The 25,536-nt window shown below is 47.3% G+C and overlaps 1 protein-coding gene across 14 annotated transcripts in view, besides 2 other annotated features; it reads right to left on the bottom strand.

Moving 5' to 3' along the window:
• The window catches only part of TVP23A (trans-golgi network vesicle protein 23 homolog A), a 61,477-nt gene that overhangs the window by 12,378 nt on the left and 23,563 nt on the right, over positions 1-25,536 (bottom strand). For 8 of the 14 annotated variants that reach the window (NR_134903.2, NR_134902.2, NR_134901.2 and 5 more), the window contains 5 exons: positions 5,257-5,401; positions 4,344-4,433; positions 3,618-3,746; positions 1,975-2,103; positions 577-636 (listed from right to left, as the gene is read on the bottom strand). Coding sequence is in view for 5 of the 14 variants with exons in the window: in XM_047434604.1 (XP_047290560.1) it covers positions 577-636; positions 1,975-2,103; positions 3,618-3,746; positions 4,344-4,433; positions 5,257-5,401 (553 nt within the window). In the remaining 9 variants the exon portion in view is untranslated. Of the gene's footprint in view, positions 1-73; positions 222-576; positions 637-1,974; positions 2,104-3,617; positions 3,747-4,343; positions 4,434-5,256; positions 5,853-25,536 lie in introns of those variants that run through there. The other 6 variants (NR_134905.2, NR_134906.2, NR_134904.2 and 3 more) reach the window with 4 other exon arrangements.
• Positions 20,107-20,645: an enhancer, noted in NCBI's record as "NANOG hESC enhancer chr16:10883659-10884197 (GRCh37/hg19 assembly coordinates)". NCBI's record gives its function as "activates a minimal SCP1, AML or CMV promoter by ChIP-STARR-seq in naive H9 embryonic stem cells {active_cell/tissue: H9 hESC(naive)}" and the evidence as "EXISTENCE:reporter gene assay evidence [ECO:0000049][PMID:30033119]".
• Positions 25,260-25,359: an enhancer, noted in NCBI's record as "active region_10387". NCBI's record gives its function as "activates an Ori minimal core promoter by ATAC-STARR-seq in GM12878 lymphoblastoid cells {active_cell/tissue: GM12878}" and the evidence as "EXISTENCE:reporter gene assay evidence [ECO:0000049][PMID:35858748]".

The following is a 25,536-nucleotide window of genomic DNA, read 5'->3' on the forward strand; positions in this document are numbered from 1 at the left end:
GTGGGGTCTGTGTAAATTCCCTGTGTAGTAATATGTGCACAGTATATCCAGTAATGTCCAGTGTCATGCAAACCAACTTTCAGGTTTTTTAATTATATAAAAAAGAGGGACAGATGTAAACTCTACGATCATCCTCTTTGCCATGAGGTGCTTGCTCTGTTTGAGACACACAGGATCTGAGACCACGTGGGAGAAGAGTAAATTCCTGTTTTCCCTCCACTCTGGGGCATAAAAGTGGGTGGGTGGGAAACAAGAACAAATCCCCTTGTTCTTTCCCTCCCTTGTCTCTTCCCTCCCCGCCCTTCCCTAGGACCATACATATGATCAGATTTGCACATGTTCAGTGTGAGGAAGGTGTGACCTCGCCCCCCGACCCCCAGCTCCTCACGCCAAGAGCAATGAGGCTGCAAAGCCCAGGGCAGGCCCATTGCCCAGTCTGCTTCCTGCCTGGTCACATGCCTGGCCACCCCAGGGAACAGGGGAAGCCCACCCAGACCCCGGGCCCCTGTGCCCCAAGAGCTGCATTTTTCAGAATTCCCCAGTTCCTCCACACGGGTGCCATGATCCATTTCTCACCTAATGCTGGTGAATCTCCAGCCCCTCGAGGCCAGGCTTCTGAAAGTCACCTGGGCAGGCCTGCAAGGGGAAAAGTCAACCATGGTTTTCTGTCCTTACACGCGAGTGGGGCGATCCTGCTGATGGAAGGCCAGAGAAAACCCACAAAGTACAGAAAACCTGCGGAATTGGTTGCTTGATGTCTTGGCATAAAGCAGTGCTGTTCAAATTTAGGACGGTTCTACCCATTTCAGGATGAACCTGGTCAAATTTCAAAGACTTCTGTCTCTCACTTTTAGAAATATCTATTAAGTTAAAAAAAAAAAACAAAACAAAAACAAGCTGGGCACGGTAGCTCCCGCCTGTAATCCTAGCACTTTGGGAGGCCAAGGCTGGTAGATCACTTGAGGCAAGGAGTTCGAGACCAGCCTGGTCAACATGGAGAGACCCCGTCTACTATAAATACAAAAATTAGCCAGGCATGGTGTTATGCACCTGTAATCCCAGCTACTTGGGAGGCTGAGGCAGGAGAATCACTTGAACCCGGAGCCGGAGGTTGCAGTGAGCCAACACATGCCATTGCACTCCAGCCTGGGAGCAGAGTGAGACTCCCATCTCAAAAAAAAAAAAAAAAAAAAAAAAAAAATTGAAAAACCGTTTGTGACTCTTTCCTTAATTCTATACTTTTAAAAATCACTGAAAACTAACAATGGCAGTCACAAAAGGACAAAAACTATAATTGCACTTATAGGAGGTCCCTAGGGCTGTCAAACCAATAGATACAGAAAGCAGAATGCTGGTTGCTAGGGCTAGGAGGCGAGGAGGAGGGGGAGTTAGTGTTTTGTGGGTACTGAGCTTAAGTTTTGCAAGATGAAAGCAGTTCTGGAGCTGGGTGGGGTGAAGGTTGCACAATAAAGTGGTTATACTTAATGCCACAGAACTATACATTTTAAAATGGTTACAATGGTACATTTTATGTAAATCTTACAATTAAAAAACAAAACTGCCAGGCACAGTGGCTCACTCATGGCTGTAATCCCAGCACTTTGGGAGGCCAAGGCAGGCGGGCTGCTTGAGCTCAGGAGTTCTAGAGCAGCCTGGGCAACATGGCAAAACTTCGTCTCTACAAAAAAAAAAGGCCAGGCATGGTGGTACACACCTGTAGTCCCAACTGTGCCAGAGGCTGAGGTGGGAGGATCGCTTGAGCCCAAGAGATGGAGGTTGCAATAGGCCGCGATCACACCATTGCACTCTAGCCTGGGTGACAGAGCGAGATCCTGTCTCCCAAAAAATATATAAACAATAAAACATTGGCAGCCTGGCGGATATGTTACATTACAAACCGCAGTTGCCAGCAGGCCACCTTGACTTTGACTACCTGGAGAGGAGTGGTCCAAGAGTCAGACCTCAGTTACTCACCGTCTGGAACACTGTCTGGGACAGGAAACTGGCTGTGACCTTGCCAATGTCACTGTTGCCTCCCATCTTACAAAGGATGTAGCCATACAGGTTTGCAGCTTGGAGAGAGATCCCAGCAACCACCAGAGCCTGCACTCAGACAAAGAAAGCAAAGGTCACTTTTTTTTGAGACAGAGTTTCGCTCTGTCGCCCAGGCTGGGGTGCAGAGGCACGATCTCAGCTCACTGCAAGTTCCGCCTCCCGGGTTCACACCATTCTCCTGCCTCAGCCTCCCGAGTAGCTGGGACTACAGGCGTCCGCCACCAGGCCTGGCTAATTTTTTTGTATTTTTAGTAGAGACACTGTTTCACCATGTTAGCCAGGATGGTCTCCATCTGACGCAAAGGTCACTTTCTAAGAGCATTTACAGAAATGCACCTCTCAAGCCACGTAGAAATGCTCTAGCCTGCACCTAAGAATAGTAACAGCCAACATTTACTGAGCATTTGCAAATACCCACGGACACCTCAGAATCATTACAACTGGAGAGGTTGCCACCATCATCATCCCATTTTACAAAGAGGAAACTGAGGCTCAGGAAGACGAAAGCTGCCCAAGGTCACAGAGCTGGAGCGTGGTCGAGCCGGGATCCAAATTCCAGGGCCCGCACTTTCATTAAATGACACTGTTGTTTTACTATCTACAAATATTTTGTTTTCTCTATTTATTGATTTTTTTTAAGACGGAGCCTCACTCTGTCACCCAGGCTGAAGTGCTGTGGCACGATCTTGGCTCACTGCAACCTCCGCCTCCTGGGTTCAAGCGATTCTCCTGCCTCAGCCTCCCAAGTAGCTGAGATTACAGGCGTGTGCCACTACGCCCAGCTAATTTTGGTATCTATAGTACAGACAGGGTTTTGCCATGTTGGCCAGGCTGGTCTCAAACTCCTGACCTCAGGTGATTCACCTGCCACAGCCTCCCAAAGTGCTGGGATTACAGATGTGAGGTACTGTGCCAGCCTGTGTGAGTCCATTTATATGAAATGCCCAGAATAGGCAAATCCACAGAAACAGAAAAATTAATAGGTGCCAGGGCTTGGAGGAACAGAAGCACAGGGAAGCAATGTCAAAAGGGCGCAAGGCTTCTTCCGGTGATGAAAATTTCCTAACATTGATGGTGGTTTTGGCTGTACAACTCTGTGACTGCACTAGAAGCCACTGAATTCCACACTTAGTATTTATTTTATTTTTTGGAGACAAGGTCTCACTCTAGCACCCAGGCTGGAGTGCAGTGGCACAATCTTGGCTCACTGCAACCTTTGCTTCCCGGGCTCAAGCGTGCACACCATCATGCCTGGCTAATTTTTGCATTTTTTGCAGAGATGGGGTTTTGCTATGTTGCCCAGGCTGGTCTCGAACTCCTGAGCTCAAGCAATCCTTCCACCTTGGCCTCCCAAAGGCCTGGGATTATAGGCGTAAGCCACCATGCCAAGCCCCTAATTGTATACTTTAAATGGGTAAATTGTATGGAATGTGTATTATATCTCAATAAACTTGTTATAATTGATCAATCAATCAATAACAAATAACAACAAAAGCCTAGTGGTGCAAACACTTTTTTTGCAGAGACATCAAAGCAATGTGGAAGTCAAGATCTGGCCTTACCAGCCACTTTAGCTTCAAGGAAAATAAGGTGCTAAAAAAAAACACAATCCATATCATGGGGCAGATTATGAGGCCCAGCCAGAAGATTCGTGCTTCAGCTTCTGTGGCAGCAATGCTATTCGGAGAGACCTGTTAAAGGAAAGTAATTCAAATGTCAAAACAAGTGGAAATGGTTGCAAACGAGCGTGCTCACATTTTCATTTATTTTATTTTGCAGATGCTTTTGTTGCTGTGGGATTTTTTGTTGTTGGTGTTGTTTTGTTTTGTTTTGTTTTTGAGACAAAGTCTCATTGTGTCACCCAGGCTGGAGTGCAGTGGCGTGATCTTGGCTCACTGGAACCTCCGCCTCCTGGGTTCAAGTGATTCTCCTGCCTCAGCCTCCCGAGTAGCTGGGAATACAGGTGCCTGCCACCACGCCCAGCTAATTTTTGTATTTTTAGTAGAGACAGGGTTTCACCATGTTGCCCAGGCTAGTCTCAAACTCCTAACCTCAAGTGATCCACCCACCTCCGCCTCCCAAAGTGCTGGGATTGCAGGCGTGAGCCACCACGCCCGGTCTATTTTGGAGACACTTTTGCCACACCCATGTTTCACCAGAGCACCTTGGCAATGGTGGCTTTTGTGTAAGGCAGGAATCAGATATGCACAAAACTCCAAAGGAACCCACAGAAACTTTCCACACCCATTATCCCCGCTCTGGTTAGTTCAGCTCGTCATGGAGAATACCTTCCTGGCTTCAAAGATCCAGTGGCTCTTCCCATCTTCATCTATCTGGTTCCACCATCGAAGGCCCACCAGGAGTCTTCCGGTTACATTCTGAGAACAATAGACAAAGGACTCTGAGCAGGTCACAGGCAAAGAGGCTTATTCACTGTATTGATAAACAAAAGTTCCTTGATTCATTTCAGACTTGTACTGGGAGCAGGAAGAAAAAAGGCCTTGAATTGTAGTGGATTCTCAGATGTCAAGACTTCTAGTTTTCAACTAAGCTTACTTTAAAAAGTTACACACTCCCCCCACAAAACATATATAATTTATATGTTCATATTATATATGTTTTAAATATATGTATTAATTCGTATACAAGTGATATGGTTTGGCTGTCTCCCCACCCAAACCTCATCTTGAATTGTCGCTTCCATAATTCCCACGTGTTGTGGGGGAGACCGGGTGGGAGATAATTGAATCATACAGGCAGTTTCCCCCACACTGTTCTCATGGTAGTGAATAAGTGCCACGAGATCTGATGGTTTTTATAAGGGAAACCCCTCTCACTTGGCTCTCATTCTCTCTCTTTTTTTTTTTTTTTTTTTCCGAGACAGAGTTTGACTCTTGTCACCCAGGCTGGAGTGCAATGGCACAACCTCGGCTCACTGCAACCTCCGCCTCCCGGGTTCAAGTGATTCTTCTGCCTCAGCCTCCCAAGTAGCTGGGATTACAGGCACACACCACCGCGCCAGGCTAATTTTTGTATTTTTAGTAGAGACGGGGTTTCTCCATTCCCCTTACTTTTAAGTGACACTGCTCAGCACTCTTAAGCATGTCTCAGGAGTCTAAACCAAAGTACCTCTTGGTACCACGCACACAGGGGACAAGCCTCGTGTTTCGGAAGTGATGACATCACACGAAAGGGCCTCACCTTCACAGACCAGAAGTCCAGGGACAGGAGGAGCAGCACCATGACAAAACAGCCCACAAAGCTCTTGCTGAACCAGTCGCAGCTCACGTAGGTGACGATGGCACTCACTCGGAAAAACAGGTGGAAAAAGGTGGCCAAGGGGTGTCTAGGAAAGGACCCAGAAGGCGCCCTCACTCCAAGAGCTAAGCGGATGGTCACTGAACTCCCTTTACCACTTCAGACTTTGCTGGGGGTGTTAGCGTGGCTCAATGGAATGTTCTCCCCGGTGCATATGACGCAGAAACTCAGGCTGTAGCCCTGGGGACACATCATTAGGTCAGCAGTCCCCAGACAGTCATGCTGACACTGTTTTTTTTCCTCCCCTTCGAAGAATCCAGTACTTTCCCGCCACTTGACTCCAAATATCACTTGCCCTCTTCGAAACACGGTCATCTTTGAAGTGAAACGTGACAGCAGTCACTGCCTTCCCGCCTAGCAGAGATGACGGCCAGTTCCCTAAAGGTAAAGGTTGGGTTTTTCCACCACCAGTCACTGAGCTCCAAGCTCACACGCAGCCCACGGGGCAGGTGTCTCATGTCATCGGGGAATGCGTGTTCCTGGACAGAGGGAAACATGTGACCTGTGAATGGCAGGTCTAACTCATCATACTTGCTCAGTGGTGAATGGCACGTGAATCCTGGCATTTAATCTAGGGGAAGGTGGTTCTTGTTCACTGTGCCTTTAGACACAAACCTGGCCAGAAAGAAGAGAGGGAGCCAAGGGGAACATGCTCATCCTGTGTAAATTGCTTTTCTTTTTTTTTTTTTTTTTTTTTTGAGATGGAGTCTTGCTCTGTCCCCTAGGCTGGAGTGCAGTGGCGTGATCTCGGTTCACAGCAACCTCCACCTCCCGGGTTCAAGCAATTCTCCTGCCTCAGCCTCCCAAGTAGCTGAGATTATAGGCGCCTGCCACCACGCCCAGCTAATTTTTGTACTTTGAGTAGAAACAGGATTTCAACATGTTGGCCAGGCTGGTTTCGAACTCCTGACCTCAGGTGATCTGTCCACTTTGGCTTCCCAAAGTGCTGGGATTACAGGCATAAGCAACCACGCCTGGCCTTATTTTTTTTATTATTATTATTTTTTAATGTAAGTCTGATATAGGCCAGGCACGGTGGCTCACACCTGTAATGCCAGCACATTGGGAGGCCGAGGCGGGCGGATCACCTGAGGTCAGGAGTTCAAGACCAGCCTGGCCAACATGGTGAAACCCCATTTCTACTCAAAATACAAAAATTAGCTGGGCATGGTGGCGGCTGCCTGTAACCCCAGCTACTCGGAAGGCTGAGGCAGGAGAATCACTAGAACCTGGGAGGCGGAGGTTGCAGTGAGCCAAGATCACGCCACTGCACTGCAGCCTGGGTGAGAAAGTCAGACTCCAACTCAAAAAATAAAAAAATAAAAAAATAAAAACAAGAAAAGAAAGGTTACCAAATTGTATAGAGCAGGTGATGGCAGTGGGTGATGTGGGCCAGACTGAAGACACTTGTGGGTTTCTGTTTCTTTCTGTGGTTTCCCAGTTTAAATAGAGCACACAGGTAGAGAACGATACTCAACTATGATCAGGAAATCAATGGCACGAGCCCAGTTGTTATACCAGAAAGGGTTTCAGATCCAGACCCCAAGAGAGGGTTCTTGGATCTCACCCAAGAAAGAATTCAGGGCAAGTCCATTGAGTAAAGTGAAAGCAAGTTTATTTGGAAAGTAAAGGAATAAAGAATGGCTAGTCTATAGATAGAGCAGTCCTAAGGGCTGCTGGTTGCCCATTTTTATGGCTATTTCTTGATGATATGCTAAAGAAGGGGTGGATTATTCATGCCTCCCCTTTTTCGACCATATAGGGCAACTTCCAGACGTTGCCATGACATCTGTGAACTGTCATGGTGCTGGTGGGAGTGTAGCAGTGGGGACGACCAGAGGTCACTCTCATGGCCATCTTGGTTTTGGTGGGTTTTAGCCGGCTTTTTTACTGCAACCTGTTTTATCAGCAAGGTCTTTATGACCTGTATCCTGTGCGACCTCCTATCTCATCCTGTGACTTAGAATGCCTTAACCGTCCAGGAATGCAGCCCAGTAGGTCTCAGCCTCGTTTTACCCAGCCCCTATTCAAGATGGAGTTGCTCTGGTTCACACGCCTCTGACACAGTGATGGATGAGAATGAAACCCGCACCTCAGGGCAGGGGAGGAAAAGGGAGGGATGAAAGGGACTCTTCCCAGCACCAGGCAGCTGTGCAAACCAGACCCAGTACTGCCAGAGCCAAGATTTTCATGAGAAGTCAGAAATCCAGACTTGCAATGGGAAATCTGATTTTAAATGATGGCCACTAATTCTTTTACTGAAATATCAGTCTGTGTTTCTCACTGGCCTGCGAGCAGTGAGCTTGCAACCTCTGGATTAGGTTACAAAATGTTGTGGGCTTTGGAAAATGCGGGGCCGAATGGGGTGGTCACAGAGATCCACACAGAACTGCAGGGGAAAGCGCCTGCTCATTCTCCCCAAGAAGAAACGGAGTCCGAGTCAACAAACCACAGGTGCCTCTACAACTGTGGGGCTTCCGACTCCCAGGGGAATGTTAAGATTCAGAAGCAGACTTCACAGTGACTTTTTTGCGTAGCAAAGCACCAACTATTCACCAGGATGGGTCTCATCTGAGCCTCTCAGGCTCTTGGCTCTCCTGGTGACCTGAATGAAAACCAACCCAGGAAGTGCACCCGGCTTTTAAGAATTAGACAGGATCAAGCCGGGCGTGGTGGCTCACGCCTGTAATCCCAGCACTTTGGGAGGCTGAGGCAGGTGGATCACGAGGTCAAGAGACTGAGACCATCCCTGGCCAACATGGTGAAACCCCGTCTCTACTAAAAATACAAAAATTAGCTGAGCGTGGTGGTGGGCGCCTGTAGTCCCAGCTACTCGGGACGCTGAGGCAGGAGAATTGCTTGAATCTGGGAGGCGGAGGTTGCAGTGAGTTGAGATCGTACTACTGCACTCCAGCCTGGTGACAGAGCGAGACTCCGTCTCAAAAAAAATAAAAATAAAAATAAAAGAAGAATTAGACAGGATCACCAGGTGTGGTGGCTCACACCTGTAATCCTAGCTCTTTGGGAGGCCGAGGCAGGCAGATCAGTTGAAGTCAGGAATTCAAGACCAGCGTGGCCAACATGGTAAAACTCCGTCTCTACTAAAAATACAAAAATTAGCCAGTTGTGGTGGCAGGTGCCTGTAATCCCAGCTACTCAGGAGGCTGAGGCAGGAGAATCGCTTGAACCTGGGAGGTGGAGGTTGCAGTGAGTCGAGATGATGCCACTGCACTCCAGCTTGGGCAACAGAGCAAATCGCTGTCTCGAAGAATTAGACAGGATCACATAGAACTTAAAAACTTCCTGGAGTGTTCCAGAAGATAAGACTCTTGGGTGTCTCTTTTTGCTGTAAACCTAATTGAGAATTTCCTAACTGAATAAAATTTTGTCCCTTGCCCCTGGAGATAAATAAATGCTCTTTCAATAACTGAAAGTTCTTTGAGGGCACAGACCATGTTTAACACATTTTTATATCCCCAAAAGCACCCAGTATTTAAGATTCTCCGCAAACATATTTGTTATGTTGAACCTTGTAATCGAGTCAGTTAGAATCACTGGAAACATCTGTCCTCTTTGTAGAACAATACAAATGTAAAAAAAAAAAAAAAGATAGAGGGTCGGGCGCGGTGGCCCATGCCTATAATCCCAGCACTTTGGGAGGCTGAGGCGGCTGGATCACTTGAAGTCAGGAGTTCGAGACCAGCCTGGCCAACATGGTGAAACCCTATCTCTACTAAAACTACAAAAATTAGCCAGGCCTGATGGCAGGCGCCTGTAATCCCAGCTACTTGGGAGGCTGAGGCAGGAGAATTGCTTGAACCTGGGAGGCAGAGGTTGCAGTGAGCTGAGATTGCACCACTGCACTACGGAGCAAGACTCCATCTCAAAACAACAAAACATACAGATCTCAAAAAAATGTCAAAGTGTGAGCCAAGTGTGCGCTGACCCATGGTAAAATGTGGAAGTAAATGCATTCGAATAAATCCCTTGCCCACCCGCTTCTTTCTTTTTTCTTTTTGGCTGTGGCTCTCCTAAAATAAAATGCAGAAAAATTTCCAGTTGTTGATAGCTTCCACTTAGCTGGGCCCTGATTAACTCAATGGAAAGTGGTGTTACTCAAACAGAGTTCAAAGCCCAAAGCAAGTAGAAGAGGACGCCTGTTGCCCTTTTAAATGTTGCTTTAATCCTATTTTATGCAGGTTGCTCCATCAGCATCCTCCAAGTCCTCATTCAGTCCCTATCTGGAGTTTGCCCAGCCTGTGCCTCTAGCTAATACTGTGTGATCTCAGACCAGTTTTCCAGAGTTTTGAGAGTCATGGCTTAAGTCCTGTCCACTCGTCTCTGCCATCGGGTCCTCCATCCTCCTGCTCCCCAGCAACATGGAGCACACACACACACACCACCAATCACCTCCAGTTCCCAGTGCCATTGCTCTCTAACTCCGCCCTCCCAGGCACCAACCTGGGAGGTTGCCCCTTGAGAGGCAAACAGCACAGGGGCATGGCACCAGCTGCGTGTGTTCCCGGACCAACTGAGAATCAGGCGGCATATTCTTGTGGCCCAAAAACGAGATGCAGATGAACTGGGAGAGGAAGTTTTTATTTCTGTAGCCAGTTACAGGGAGAAGACCTAGAAAATATCGCCAGGCCAACTTAAAATTACCAAGTTTTCCAGAGCTTATATACCTTCTGAGCTATATGTCATGGATAAGTTTGCATTCATCTAAAATAAGTGATTGGCCGGGGGCGGTGGCTCACGCCTGTAATCCCCAGCCCTTTGGGAAGCTGAGGCAGGCAGATCACTTGAGCTCAGGAGTTCGAGACCAGCCTGGCCAACATGGCAAAACTCCGGCTCTAATAAAAATACAAAAATTAGCGGGTGTGGTGGTGCACGCCTATAATTCCAGCTACTCGGGAGGCTGAGGCAGGGGAATTGCTTGAACCCAGGAGGCAAAGTTTGCAGTGAGCCAAGATCGTGCCACTGGACTCCAGCCTGGGCGACAGAGTGAGACTCCATCTCAAAATGAATGAATGAATGAATGAATGAATGAATGAATGAATAAAATAAAATAAAGATTAACTTCTTTTAATCTATAACTAATATCTGAGTCCTGAAGACCTTCCTCTGGAGCCTCAGTAAATTTACTTAATCTAAATGGGTCCAGGTGCTGGGGTGATTACCCTTATCTTGTCTCCTGCTAAATGATGGAGGTTTGGGGAGTCTCTTCAGACCCCTAATAAACTTGTTTGTGGAGGCCTGGGGAGTTTCTTTGGACCTCCCAATAAACTTATTTCATCCTAAATGGGTCCTTTGTTATCTTGTCATACTTCAAGGACCAGGAAAGACCTGGGCACAACTCTAGGTGGGCTTTTGTCACATTCCAGCCTTTGTATAAGGGCACTGGCTCTCTCAGCTTTTAATATTTAACTTCACCACTCATTCAGTGCTGAGACAGCTGTTATGGAGGCCTATGTTAGTGAGAACTGGCCTGCCACCCATGGGCTTGGGCGCTAGACCACCAGCATTCCAATCCTGGCTCTAATCTCTGAGTAGCTCTGTGGTCTTCCCTAAGCTACTTAACTCTGTGATCCCTCCATCTCCTCTTCTGCAAAATGGGAATGCCAACAGGATCCACTTCCTAAGACACTGAAAACATCGGGTGAGGGTGGTACATAAAAGTGCCTGAAACACACACCATGCTCAAAAACAGGTGACAGCCATTACCATCTCAGTCCTCCGTGTCATTCGAAACAACGGTTCCACCACCAAGAGCCAAACTGTGAAATTCCCCCTCTGACCACAACTTTCTCTCACTCCTGAGGGGACTACCTTTTGTCTTTGCAGGGATCTCCCAAGACTCCTGGGCCCCTCACATTCCCCCAGATGAACCTTCATCATGTTCAACTTGAACAGGTGCTATTTCCACACAGTATCCAACATCCCCAACCCCAGCCACATAGAAACCCATTGTTTCAAGAAGAGGAGACTCGGTGCTAACGCCTATAATCCCAGCACTTTGGGAGGCAGAGGTGGGCAGATTACTTGAGGTCAGGAGTTCAAGACCAGCCTGGACAACATGAAGAACCCCCATCTCTACTAAAAATACAAAAATTAGCCTGGGATGGTGGCAGATGCCTGTAGTCCCAGCTGCTCAGGAGGCTGAGACAGGAGGATCGCTTGAACCTGGGAGGTGGAGGTTGCAGTGAGCCAAGATCACATCACTGCACTCCAGCCTGGGTGACAGAGTGAGACTCCATCTCAAAAAAAAAAAAAGAAAAAAGAAGAGGTGAGAAAATGACACAGTGATGAAAGGGGGAAAGGGATTACTCAAGTAAAGTGTTGTCAAGGCAGGGAGAGTCCTGATGGGGGCTTCTGTTCAACTTTCCTCTCTTTCTAGATCCACTTATGCAGCTCTGGGCCCTTGTCACCCATTGTCTTCCTCCCCGGAGGGAAGCACAGTAGATTCTCAACCTGGAATGTGTGTGAAAGCCACCTGAGGAGGTCTCACGTTGTGCACAGGATACAAGGATTCAGATTTCAGGTGGGACCTGGACACATGAATTTCACAAAGAAAAAGCACAGCTCTACCCGGGTTCAGCAAACTACAACCTAAGGGCCAAATCTGGCCATGGCCTGCTTTTGTAAATGAAGTGTGGAGTCTTAATTAGGGAGAGTCAGGTTGGCAGAAATGAGGGAAAACAAAAAGAAAAGGCAGATAAGCTATAAATCTCCCTCTGTTCACGGTCCAGAACACGCAGCCCTCCTTCACAACTAACACAATCTTTTTTTTTTTTTTTTTTTTTTTTTTTTTGAGACAGAGTCTCACTCTGTTGCCCAGGCTGGAGTGCAGTGATATGATCTCGGCTCACTGCAGCCTCCGCCTCCCGGGTTCAAGCAATTATCCTGCCTCAACCTCCTGAGTAGCTGGGATTGCAGGTGCCTGCCACCACACCTGGCTAATTTTTGTATTTTCAGTAGAGACAGGGTTTTACCATGTTGGCCGGGCTGGTCTCGAACTCCTGACCTCAGGTGATCCACCTGCCTCAGTCTCCCAAAGTGCCAGGATTATAGGTGTGAGCTACCGTACCTGGCCAAATAACACAACCTTCCCACACTCAGCTGTCATCAGACCCTCAGCTGATACAAAAATCACAAGTGAACTCACTGCAACCTTGGCATTATCAGTACTTCCCAAAGCCCTCTTCAGCACACAGCACAAGCACTATCCCAGAAAATCCCCAGCAAGCCTTTGTTTCCTGGCAGTCAGCTCCTCTCTTGCTGGCCTGCCCCTTGCTCCTTTGAAATGTACTTCCACACTTGCCTGTCTTTACCTATAACTGTCTTGGTAAATTCTTCTTAAACCTGTGCCACCAGCCCCAGGTAGTTGCTGCTCACCTGTGTCATGAAGTTTTGTTGGTTTTGTTTTCGTTTTTGTTTGTTTTGTTTGTTTTTAAGACAGGGTCTCACTCTGTCTCCCAGGCTGGAGTGCAGTGGTGTGATCAAGGCTCACTGCAGCCTCGACCTCCCAGGCTCAAGCACTCCTCCCATGTCAGCCTTCCAAGTAGCTGTGAATACAGGCAGACACCACCACACCTGGCTAATTTTTAAAATTTTTTGTAGAGATGGGATCTCACTATTTTGCCCAGGCTGGTCTCAAATTCCTGGGCTCAAGCTGTCCTCCCATCTTAGCCTCTCAAAGTGCTACAATTACAGGTGTGAGCCACTGCGCCCAGCCTGTAAATCAAGTTTTACTGGAACACAGTCACACCCACTCATTCGCTGGACTACCAAGCCCAAAATACCCAGAGAGTGTGCCAACCCCTGCTCCAGACCAGCAAGAACAACTTGGTGATGACATTAGGCTCCCTTCAAAACAACCCAAAATGAAGCAAACTGCCCCTACCTGCTCCCCAAACCCACACTCCAAAAAAATCTACTTTCAAAAGCTGTTGGGTGGTTGCTGCCTGACTGGCACAATCCCAAGGGGTTGTGTTCTTTCTTGGAGTGGGTGAGGGGGTAGTGATTGGGAAGGGATATGAGGGAGACTTCTGGATGCTGGGATGTTCTGTATCTTTATCTAATGACTACATGTGTGTAAAAATTCAGTGAACCATACGAATCTCCTGTTGGAAGCCGCTGACCAAAGCCAACCTTTGCAAGTCACTCTGAACATTTTACATGTGATACAATCCAGCAACCACAATCCCCAGGGTTTACCGAAGTGAGCTGAAAACTTACGTCTGCACAAAAAGCAACACACAAATATTTATAGCAGCTTCATTCATAATTGCCAAAACTCAGAAGCAACTAAGATGTCCTTCAATTGGCCAGGTGTGGTGGCTCATACCTGTAATCGCAGCATTTTGGGAGGCTGAGGTGGGCAGATCACTTGAGACCAAGAGTTCGAGACCAGCCTGGCCAACATGGCAAAAATCCATCTCTACTAAAAATACAAAATTTAGCCGGGCGTGGTGGCGCGTACCTGTAGTCCCAGCTGCCGGAGAGGCTGAGGCATGAGAATCACTTGAACCCAAGAAGCGGAGGTTGCAGTGAGCCAAGATCGCACCACTGCACTCCAGCCTGGGTGACAGAGTGAGACTCTGTCTCAAAAAACAAATAAGATGTCCTTCAATAGCAGAATGGATAAACCATGGTACATCCAGACAACAGAATGTTATTCAGCGCTAAAAAGAAATGAGCTATCAGACCTCAAAAAGGCATAGAGGAACCTTAAATGTGTATTGCTTAGTGAAAGAGGTTAATCTGAAAAGGCTGTGTATGGACAACTTCCACTATACAACGTTCTGGAAAAGGCAACACTCTAGAGACAGTAAAAAGATCAGTGGTTGCCAGGAGTTCCAGAGGGTGGGGAGGGATGCATAGGTGGAGCAGAGGGGACTTTTAGAGCTGGGAAACTACTCTGTATGATGTTGTGATGGAGGACTTTTGACATTACACATTTGCCAAAACTCATAGAATGGGCTAGGCGTGGTGGCTCATGCCTGCCTACAATCCCAGCACTTTGGGAGGCCTAGGGGGCAGATAGCTTGAGCCCAGGAGTTCAAGACCAGCCTGGCCAACATGGTGAAACCCTGTCTCTACTAAAAATACAAACATTAGCCAGGTGGTGCACACCTGTAATCCCAGCTACTAGGGAGGATGAGGAAGGAGAATTGCCTGAACCCAGGAGGCGGAGGTTGCAGTGAGCCGAGATCTCACCACTGCACTCCCACCTAGGCGACAGAGCAAGACTCTGTCTCAAAAAAAAGAAAAAATATCAACCTGGGCAACATGGTAAAACCCAATCTCTACCAAAAAAAGAAAAAAAAAAAAAGAAAGAAAATTAGCCAGGCATGGTGGCACACGCCTACAGTCTCAGCTACTTGGAGTGCTAAGGTGGGAGGATGGCTTGAGCCTGGAAGGCAGAGGTTGCAGTGATCCGAGATCACACCAATGCATTCCAGCCTGGGCAACAGAGCAAGACCTTGTCTCAAAAAAAATAAATAAATAAAGAAGAAAGAAAGAAAAAAAAACCTCATAAAATGTACAACATCAAGAGTAAACCCTGATATAAACTATGGATTTTAGTTAATAATAATGTATTGGTTCATCAAGTGTAACACATATACCACACTAATGCAAGATGTTTAAAATGGAGAAATTGGGGGAGAAGGGGAGTATATAAAAATTATATGAACTTTCTCCTCAAACTTTGCTACAAAACTGAAACTGCTCTAAAAACAGAGCCAGGTCCAGGTGTGGTGGCTCACACCTATAATCCCAGCACTTTGGGAGGCCGAGACAAGTGGATCACCTGAGGTCAGGAATTCAAGACCAGCCTGACCAACATGGTGAAACCCCATCTCTAAAATACAAAAAGTAGCTGAATGTGGTGGCGGGCGCCTGTAATCCCAGCTACCTGGGAAACTGAGGCAGGAGAATCCCTTGAATCCGGGAGGCGGTGGTTGCAGTGTGCTGAGATCACAACACTACACTCCAGCCTGGGTGACAAAGCGAGACTCCGTCTCAAAAAAAAAAAAAAAAAATAGAGCCAGGCCGGGCATGGTGGCTCACGCCTATAATCCCAGCACTTTGGGAGGCCAAGGCGGGTGGATCACCTGAGGTCAGGAGCTCACGACCAGCCTGGCCAACATGGTGAAACCTGCCTCTATTAAAAATACAAAAATTAGCCAGGTTTGGTGGCGGAAGCCTGTAATCCCAGCTACTCAGGAGGCTGAGGCACGAGAATCGCTTGAACTGGGGAGGTGGAGGTTGCAGTGAGCAGAGATCGCACCACTGCACTCCAGCCTGGGTGACAGAGCAAGACTCCATCTCAAAAAAAAAAAGAGCCAGAATTTATAAAAGTGGGTGGACATAGGTATGAAGCTCTGTCTAAGAGTACACAGAGAAACTGGGAGGAGGCACAAACATCACTGTCCCACAACTTCTAAAGCAGGTCTGATTTGGGGGTGTAAACCCTGAATATCTGAGACAGGTCTCAGTTATTTTAGAAAGTTATTTTCCCAAGGTTGAGAACACACTCAGGAGATCCTGACAACATGTGTCCAAGGTGATCAGAGCACAGCTTGGTTTTGTACATTTCAGGGAGACAGGAGACAACAATCAACTTATGTAAGATGAACATTGGTTGGGTCTGGAAAGGCGGAACACCTTTCCAGGCATCTGCTTCTCAGATCTATGTGATTGTACTCAATAAATAGTGTGGAGACCAGAACTCTGAGCCCTTTGCAGCCTCTGATTTGCTCTGGCCCCCTGGCTCCCACCTTTATGAACTCTTAACCTGTCTCTTCTCATTCCTTTGTCACCACCGGACTTTGGGTACCCTACAGGTGGTGTTGAGGCTGGTCCCCAACAGAGACCAGCCTGACCAACATGATGAAACCCCGTCTCTACTAAAAATACAAACAATTAGCTGGGAGGGGTCTTCCAGGTCATAGGTAGATTAGAGACAAATGGTTGTGTTCTTTTAAGTTTCTGATGAGTGTCTCCAAAGGAGGCAATCAGATATGCATTTATCTCAGTGAGCAGGGGAGTGACTTTGAATAGAATGGGAGGCAGGTTGGCCTTAAGCATTTCCCAGTTTGACTTTTCCCTTTAGCTTAGTGATATGGGGGCCCCAAGATTTATTTTTCATCCACAGGGGAAGGTGAGTTCATCCTAAATTCGGCAGTGATCTAACAATGTCTTTAAAAGTTGTCCTGTGGCCAGGTGCAGTGGCTTAGGCCTGTAATCTCAGCACTTTGGGAGGCTGAGTCAGGAGGATCACTTGAGGCCAGGAGTTTGAGGCTGCACTGAGCTATGATCACACCACTGCACTCCAGCCTGGGGACAGAGGGAGAACTTGTCAAAAAAAAAAATACCCTTTACTTTGAAAACTGTACTCCTTTTTTTAAGCCCATCTCCAACTAGAATTCCTCATGAAACATCACATTTTAAATTCTGTGTCCTCTTTCAGACACTCTGGAAACCTTCCTGCTTCTCAGTATGGCAGGCCTGAAGAAAGGCATTCTCTTCCCTTCTTGGTTTGCTTTGCTCTGTGATGATGTCTAGAATTTGCTTAAAAATAACCTGAGTGTGCGGGGATGGGAGGGGGTGAAGATGAAACGGGCCACATCCTGGTGATGACTGGGGATGGGCATTGGGAACCTGGTGATGACTGGGGATGGGCATTGGGAACGTCAGGTTCATTGTTCTCTATACTTTTACGTAAATTTGAATTTAAAAGTAGAAGAAGAAAGAAATCGGCAGAAGCAGCCCTGACTTTGCATTGAGGCCAGATGCCTTTTGGGATAAACCAAGCTCATGGGCTGATATTCTGGGTACCTAGATGGCCCAGCTGTGGTCCAAAAAAAAAAAAAATTTAGACCTAAAAATCCCCCATTGAGTAATGGACTGTTACAGCTGGATACATGAAGAAAATTCCAGAAAGCAGGTCCTTTCTTCTGGGCTTACCAGTTCCTCTACAAAAAAAGAGGCCACCCCTCTCTGAAGTACAAATGCCCAACCCTCCCTGCACCTGGCCAGCGTGGTGCAGGGAAAGCCAGAGGGTCCAGCCCCACGCTCCTGCTCCATGCTTGCTGGGTATGCAGTCCTGGACAAAGTACTAAACCCTTTTTGATATAGGAGTTAAGAAGAAATTATTTAGGCAGATAGTGAGGATATGAGAGTCCTCTGTAAGGTTTTCCTTTTAATGAAAAGCAGCCCCAAAATTATTTTCTTTCCCAATAAAGAGCAGCCTGTAAAATCCAGCTGCAGACAAGCAAGCTGGAAGCTTGCACAGGTGAAGGCCAACAGCTGTGCCAATAGGAAAAGGCTACCTGGGACTAGGTATGTTCAAAATGGCGGCTCCATCTTCCCTTCTCCTTTCCAGTCACGTGTACAGTAAGGGGCAGGCAACATGGGGCAGGCAACATGGCACCAGCCAAGTGGAAAGCTCATTTGCATAATAAGATTAGGGTTGGGGGGGCAGCCTTCCGTGAGCGCTATGTGAATGTCACCCCGGTCCAACCAATCTGTGGGCTCTATGTAAATCAGACACTGCCTCCTTAAGCCTGTCTATAAAATCTGGTGCAGTCTGCAGTGGGCTGGTTTTTTTCCCTTTCAGAAGCCCCTCTCTCTCACAGGAGAGAGAGCTGTTCTCCTCTCTCTTTCTTTTGCCTATTAAACCTCCCCTCCTAAATTCACTCCTCATATGTGTCAGTGTCCGTGATCTTCTTGGCATGAGATGACAAACCCAGGGTATTTACCCCAGACAACAATGCCGCTTCACTTTGAGCCTCACATTATCCATCCATAAAATGAGACAGTAACATTTGCGTCAGATGCCGGAGGCTTTCAACTAATAGAGTCAAACTCTGTAAAATATTTAAAGAGATTAATCCTGAGCCAAATATGAGAACCGTGACCCATGACACAGCCCCATGGGGTCCTGAGAACATGTGCCCAAGGTTGTCGGGCTACAACCTGGCTTCATACATTTTAGGGAGACAAAGGCATCAATCAATACATGCAAGATGTACACTGGTTTGGTCTGGAAAGGCAAAACAACTCAAACAGGGAGGGCGCTTCTGGGTCATAGGTAAATTCAAAGATTTTCTGATTGGCAATTGGTTGAGTTATTATCTAAAGACCTGGAATCAAGAGAAAGGAGTGTCTGGGTTAAGATGAGGGGTTGTGAGCAAGGTTTTTTTTTTGTTTTTTTTTGAGATGGAGTCTTGCTCTGTCGCCCAGGTTGGAGTGCAGTGGTGCGATCTCAGCTCACTACAACCTCCATCTCCCGGATTCAAGCGATTCTCCTGCCTCAGCCTCCTGAGCAGCTGGGACTACAGGCGCCCGCCACCACACCCGGCTAATTGTTTGTATTTTTAGTAGAGACAGGGTTTCATCATGTTGGTCAGGCTGGTCTCTGTTGGGGACCAGCCTCAACACCACCCGTAAGGTACCCGAAGTCCGGTGGTGACAAAGGAATGAGAAGAGACAGGTTAAGAGTTCATAAAGGTGGGAGCCAGGGGGCCAGAGCAAATCAGAGGCTGCAAAGGGCTCAGAGTTCTGGTCTCCACACTATTTATTGAGTACAGTCACTTAGATCTGAGAAGCAGATGTTCAGGGGTGAAACGGGGAAAGGGAGACAGTATGTCATACTGTAGTAGTAGCGGTTTAAATGAATCTCCTTTGTGCTCAAACAGCGTATTTTTAACTTAACAGAGAGTAGCTAGTAGGAGTGGGCTTAACAAGGAGCCTGCATGTCTCTCCACATTCCAGTGCTTCAAAGGAGTGTCCTTCTCCTTGAACACAGTGTTTGCAGATAAGAGAGCAGGTCTCACTCTGAGCATGGGAACATGATGGCAATTAGGAGGCTTTCCTCCTCAGCGGCCTCTTGTGGCTTTCCACAACTTATTGTCCCATATTTTTATGGCCAGTTTATGCAGGCACCCCACAAGCCTTTTTCCCAACAGATCTCGAACTCCTGACCTTGTGATCCACCTGCCTCGGCCTCCCAAAGTGCTGGGATTACAGGCATGAGCCACCGTGCCCGGACAAGAGCAAGGTTTTTATATCACAGATGATGCCCTCCTGGTAGCCAGCTTCAGAGAGAACAGATGGCAAATGTTTTTTACCAGCCTTAAAAAGGCACCACTCTTAGTGAATTCTCTCCTGGATCAGAGGAAGCACCTGGAAAGGGAAGGGGGTTCTCAACAGAGTGCAGAATTCCCCCCCAAGAGACAGTTCTGTAGGCTCTTTCAAAATACGACAAAAAAATGTGTTGATGAAAAGAGTCAAACTCTCTAAAACATTTGATGAGATTTATTCTGAGCCAAATATGAGTGACCGTAGCCCATGACATAGCCTTCAGGAGATCCTGAGAACATGTGCCCAAGGTGGTTGGGGTACAGCCTGGTTTTATATATTTTTGGGAGATATGAGACATCAATCAAATACATTCAAGATATACATTGGGGCTGGGTGTGGTGATTCACACCTGTAATCCCAGCACTTTGGGAGGCTGAGGCTGGTGGATCACCTGAGGTCAGGAGTTCAAGACCAGTCTGGTCAACACGTGAAACCCCATCTCTACTAAAAAAAAAAAAAAAAAAAAAAAGCCAGGCGTGGTGGCAGGTGCCTGTAATCCCAGCTACTTGGGAGGCTGAGGCAAAAGGCTTGAACCCAAGAGGTAGAGGTTGCAGTGAACTAAGATTGTGCCACTGCACTCCAGCCTGGATGACAGAGTGAGACTCTGTCTCAAAAAAAAAAAAAAAAGGTACAATGTTACATTTGTTTGTTTCAGAAAGGCGGGACAACTCAAAGAGGGGCAGGAGGAGGGGGCTGGTTGGTAGGGACCTTCTAGGCTATAGATAAATTTTAAAATTTTCTGGTTGACAATTGGTTGAGTCTAAAGACCTGGGATCAATAGAAAGGGAATGTTCAGGTGAAGATAAAAGATTGTGGAGACCAAGGTTCTTTTGAAGTCTTATAATGGCAGCCCTTAGAGACAATAGAAGACAAATGCTTCCTATTCAGACCTTTAAAAGGTGCTAGGTTCTCAGTTAATCTCTTCAGCATTGGGAGGGCCTGGAAGAAAAAATCTAGCTATGTTAATAGAGATTCTTTACAGATGTAAATTTTCCCCCACAAAGAATGGCTTTGCAGGACCATTTCAAAATATGACAAAGAAACATGTCTTGGGGTAAAATTTTTTTTTTTTTTTTTTTTTTTGAGACGGAGTCTCGCACTGTCGCCCAGGCTGGAGTGCAGTGGCGTGATCTCGGCTCACTACAACCTCCGCCTTCCAGGTTGATGCCATTCTCCTGCCTCAGCCTCCCGAGTAGCTGGGACTACAGGCGCCCGCCACCATGCCTGGCTAATATTTTGCATTTTTTAGTAGAGACAGGGTTTCACCGTGTTAGCCAGGATGGTCTTGATCTCCTCACCTTGTGATCCGCCCGCCTCGGGCTCCCAAAGTGCTGGGATTACAGGTGTGAGCCACTGCGCCCGACCATCTTGGGGTAAAATATTTTGATTTTCTTCTTTGTCATGTAATGTTACACCAGAATCAGATTGGAAAGTAAGTCACGATATATAGGGTTAAATAAAACCTATCTGATGAAAATTTATGGTTTGTAGGGGTCCTATCCAGGCCCCTTAGATAGGAATTTGGGCAAGATAGGAAAAAAATTAGAGTTTAGTCCTCAAATGTAGTTTGCGGTAAAATACTTCAATTTCTTTCAGGGCCTGCTATCTGTGCTGTTGGGATGTCATTGCTAAAAACAATCTGTTTGTCCAGTATTAAGGTCCCTGTGTTAATGTTAATGCTGGTCAGCTGTGCCTGGATTCCAATGGGAGGAGGGTAGAACGAGGCATGTCTGACCCCCACCTCTTCCCATCATGGCCTGAACTAGTTCTTTAGGTTAACTTTGGAATGCCCTTGGCCGATAGGAGGGGTCCATTCAGTTGGTTGGGGGGCTTAGACTTTTATTTTTGGTTTACAGGCTTCTGGGAGATAAAAAACTACCATGCCAGATCAGAGAGAGCCCTCCAGCAGCTGTGGTTCCTATCACTCTACTTATTGCTTGACTCATTAATAGTCAACATTTTTGAGAACGGAAGAAAGAGGAAAAAACCATGACCAGTAACGCTCTTTTTGGACATCCTTTGTCAGACGAATGTTTTTCCCCATTGTTAAAAATAAGTAGGGTGTTGCTATTTCTTTCTTTGGCCCCGACACCCACTTACACTCAGGTGGCTTCTCTGCTACTGATGTAGGAGTTCAGAAGAAACTACTTAGGCAAATAGGGTATGGGAGTACCAACTAAGGTTTTCCTTTTAATGAAAATCAGCCCCCAAATTATTTTCTTTTCTAACAAAGAGCAGCCTGTAAAATCCAGCTGCAGACATAGACAAGCAAGCTGGAAGCTTCCAGGGTGAATGCCAGCAGCTGTGCCAATAGGAAAAGGCCAAGTTGTGCCAATAGGAAAAGGCTACCTCGGACCAGGCATGTCCAACATGGAGGCTCCATCTTCCCTTCTCTCTTATTTTTTTGAGACAGAGTCTTGCTCTGTTGCCCAGGCTGGAGTGCAGTGGCACAATCTTGGCTCACTGCAACCTCCGCCTCCTGGGTTCAAGCGATTCTCCTGCCTCAGCCTCCTGAGTAGCTGGGACTACAGGCGCGTGCCACCATGCCCGGCTAATTTTTTTTTAATTTGTATTTTTAGTAGAGACAGGGTTTCACTGTGTTAGCCAAGATGGTCTCAGTCTCCTGACCTCATGATCCGCCCGCCTCGGCCTCCCAAAGTGCTGGGATTACAGGTGTGAGCATCTTCCCTTCTCTTTGCCAGCCATGTGTACAGTAAGAAGCAAACAACATGGCATGGGCCAAGTCGAAAGCCCATTTGTGTAATAAGATTAGGGTGGGGTGGCCAGCCTTCCCTGAGTGCTACATAAACGTCACACCTGATCCAACCAATCTGTGTGCCCTATGTAAATCAGACACCACCTCCTCAAACCTGCCTATAAAATCTGCTGTGGTCCACCTCCGGCTGGATTTTTCCCTTCGGAAGCCCTTCTCTCTCACTAGGAAGAAAGCTGTTCCCCTTTCTCTTTCTTTTGCCTATTAAACCTCTGCTTCTAAACTCATTCCTTATGTGTGTCCATGTCCTTAATCTTCTTGGCACGAGACAATGAACCCCAGGTATTTACCACAGACAACACTGCTTCACTAGCAGTGGCATGCCACCATGAAGATGCTGGGTTCAAGGAACCCCCAGGTGCCAGGGGAGGCAGCTAAGATGATGTTTGCCCAGGAAGAAGTACATTCTCAGCCACTTCTCCATCCACTAGTTCCACCATACCTCCTGGGAGTTACGAAATGCAGGACCCACAACCCCACCCCCAGGCCTCCTGAGCTAGAATCTGCACTTTAACGAGTCTCCCGAGTGATTCTTCTGTGTGGGACAATTGAAGTGCTCTCTTCTCTTCCATTTGCAAGATGAACTCAGTTTCAGCAACAAAGCAGAAAGGACTTAAGAAACCCAAGCCTAAAAAAGCAAAGGTCCCTATAAACCCTTCAGGAACGCCGTGGGGCCTGCACTAACCCAGGGGATGAACCATCTGGGCTGATCTGATTTTTCTTTTCCAGAGTGACCTAGATGCAATGTTAGCTCCATCATCCTTCTGAAACGGGCTTCTTAATTCAAAAGACAGCACATCCTCTTACTGCCCCAACATCTGAGCCGGGAGGTCAGGGTTTGGGACTGTTGGGATATCTGAGCAGAGGCTGATTGCCAAGTGCTCAGTTTCCATTCAAAGGTCAGCACAATAGAGGTTTATGTGTAGAAGTGAATAAAAGAACAAACTTCCCTCTGGTTGCCACAGTTTTTTCCTCTTGTTTCTGTTCTTTATTTCTTTTTAAAGAGACATACCCAGCAGGGCATGGTGGCTCCTGCCTGTAATCCCAGCACTCTGGGAGGCCGAGGTGGGTGGATCACTTGAGGCTGGGAGTTAAAGACCAACCTGGGCAACATAGCGAAACCCTGTCTCTACTCAAAATACAAAAATTAGCCAGGCATCGTGGCACGCACCTGTAATCCTATCTACTCGGGAAGCTGAGGCAGGAGAATCGCTTGGAGGTTATAGTGAGCCAAGATCGCACCACTGCACTCCAGCCTGGGCGACACAGCAAGACTCTGTCTCAAAAACATAAAAATAAAAAAATAAAGAGACATATCGACTCTAGAGTCTGGGTATGCTCAGCATCAAAATGAAAGTGTGAGCCCCAGGGACAAGTTGGGGGGGTGCCTCTGGATGCTGGGCCCAGGCTGGGCCCTGTGTGTGGCTTCTAACCCTTCACCCTCCACCTCTGGGCACTGCTTGGCTTGTAGTGGCATCATTCTAATCTCTGCCACATTTTCAGGTACTTGTTATAGCAACACTCCACTTCTCTGGTACCAATTTCTAACTTGGCCCATTTCGTGCTGCTGTAACAGAATATCATCAACCAAGTAATTTACAAACAACAGAAATATTTATTTGGCTAGGTACGGTGGCTCACGTCTGTAATCCCAGCATTTGGGAGGCCAAGGTGGGAGGATCACTTGAGCTCAGGAGTTTGAGACCAGCTTGGGAAACATAGGGAGACCCTGTCTCTACAAAATAAAAAAAATAAACCTAGCTGGGCATGGTGGCATACACCTATGGTCCAACCTATGTGGGAGGCTGAAGTGCGAGGACTGATTGGGCCCAGGAGATTGTGGCTTCAGTGAGCTGTGATCACACCACTGCATTCCAGCCTGGGTGACAGAGTGAGACCCTGTCTCACCAAAAAAAAAAAAAAAAAAAAAAAAAAAAAAAAGTATTTTTCACAGTTCTGGAGGCTGGCAAGTCCAAGATCAAGGTGCCAGCACACTCGGTATCTGGTGAGGGTCCGGTCTCTGCTCCCAAGGTGATGCATTGAATGCTGCACCCCCAGGAGGGGAGGAACACTGTCTTCACATGTCAGAAGGGCAGAAGAGCCCTGAGACAGGACTCACTCCCACCAGCCCCTTTATAAAGGTATGAAACCCACTCATGAGGCACAGCCCTCACGGCCGAATCATCACTTAAAGGTCCCAGCTCTTAACAGTGTTAGAATAGCAATCAAATCTCAACATGCATTTTACAGGGGACAAATATTCAAACCATAACAGTGGCAATTCTTGGCATTGCTTGTCTTGTAGCCACATCATTCCAATCTCTGCCTCTCCCTGTGTCTCTATCCTCACATGTTCTTATAAAGACCCCAGTCATACTGGATTAGGGGCCTGCCCTACTCCAGTATGACCTCATGTTAACTAATTACACCTGCAAAGACCCTAGTTCCAAGTAAGGTTCAGTATTTGAGGGAGTTAGGATGTCAACATATCCTTTTGGGAAAACCCAGCTCAACCTATAACATCTGCCTTAGGTCCAATGAGCCAGAGAAAATAAGTGAGGTAGGAAGAGGACATTGTGCTATTTTACAGATGAGGACACTGGTGCTCAGAGAGGTGACATGAGCTTCCCCGAGTGGGAGTAAAGAATCAGTTATGTATGCAGGTGGTGCACAGGGTGAGGGCGCTTGGCTGAGATGGGGGTTGGGGGCAAGTGCTGAAATCTGCCCATGCTCTACTCCCCAGCTAGGTACCTGGTAGGGGTCTGTGTCTGTCTGAGAGGGGGCCACCTGTCCTAGTTTTCAGGGTAACATCCTCTGGGCTAGCAGCTGCTCTGAGTGGCAGAATCAACAGGAGGTCCTAGGTCCCCACTCACTCTCAGCCCAGGGTTTCCAGGCTGCCCCTGGAACCCTCAGATTAGCAGGCTTAACCACAGAGAGCTAGTAACACAGGCGACCCGAGGCAGTGGCCTCTGAACTCCAATCTCCACTCAGAGGAGCCTGGGATCCCTGGAGAAATGGCAGATTCCAGGTAGAGATGGAGAAATGCACACAATGGGGCAGGGACATTGGAACACCCCAGAGAGCAATGAAGCTGCCAGACGCCATGAGAGTCAGGTTAAGGAAGTTGCTTGAGCCCAGGAGTTTCAGACCAACCTGGGCAACATGGTGAAAGCTAACTGAAAGAGGCTCCCACTGGCCAACAGTGGGACAATTTGAGTAGCAATAACAATATGTCTGCA

Source organism: Homo sapiens, chromosome 16 (genome assembly GCF_000001405.40).
Source record: "Homo sapiens chromosome 16, GRCh38.p14 Primary Assembly".
NCBI lineage: Eukaryota > Metazoa > Chordata > Mammalia > Primates > Hominidae > Homo > Homo sapiens.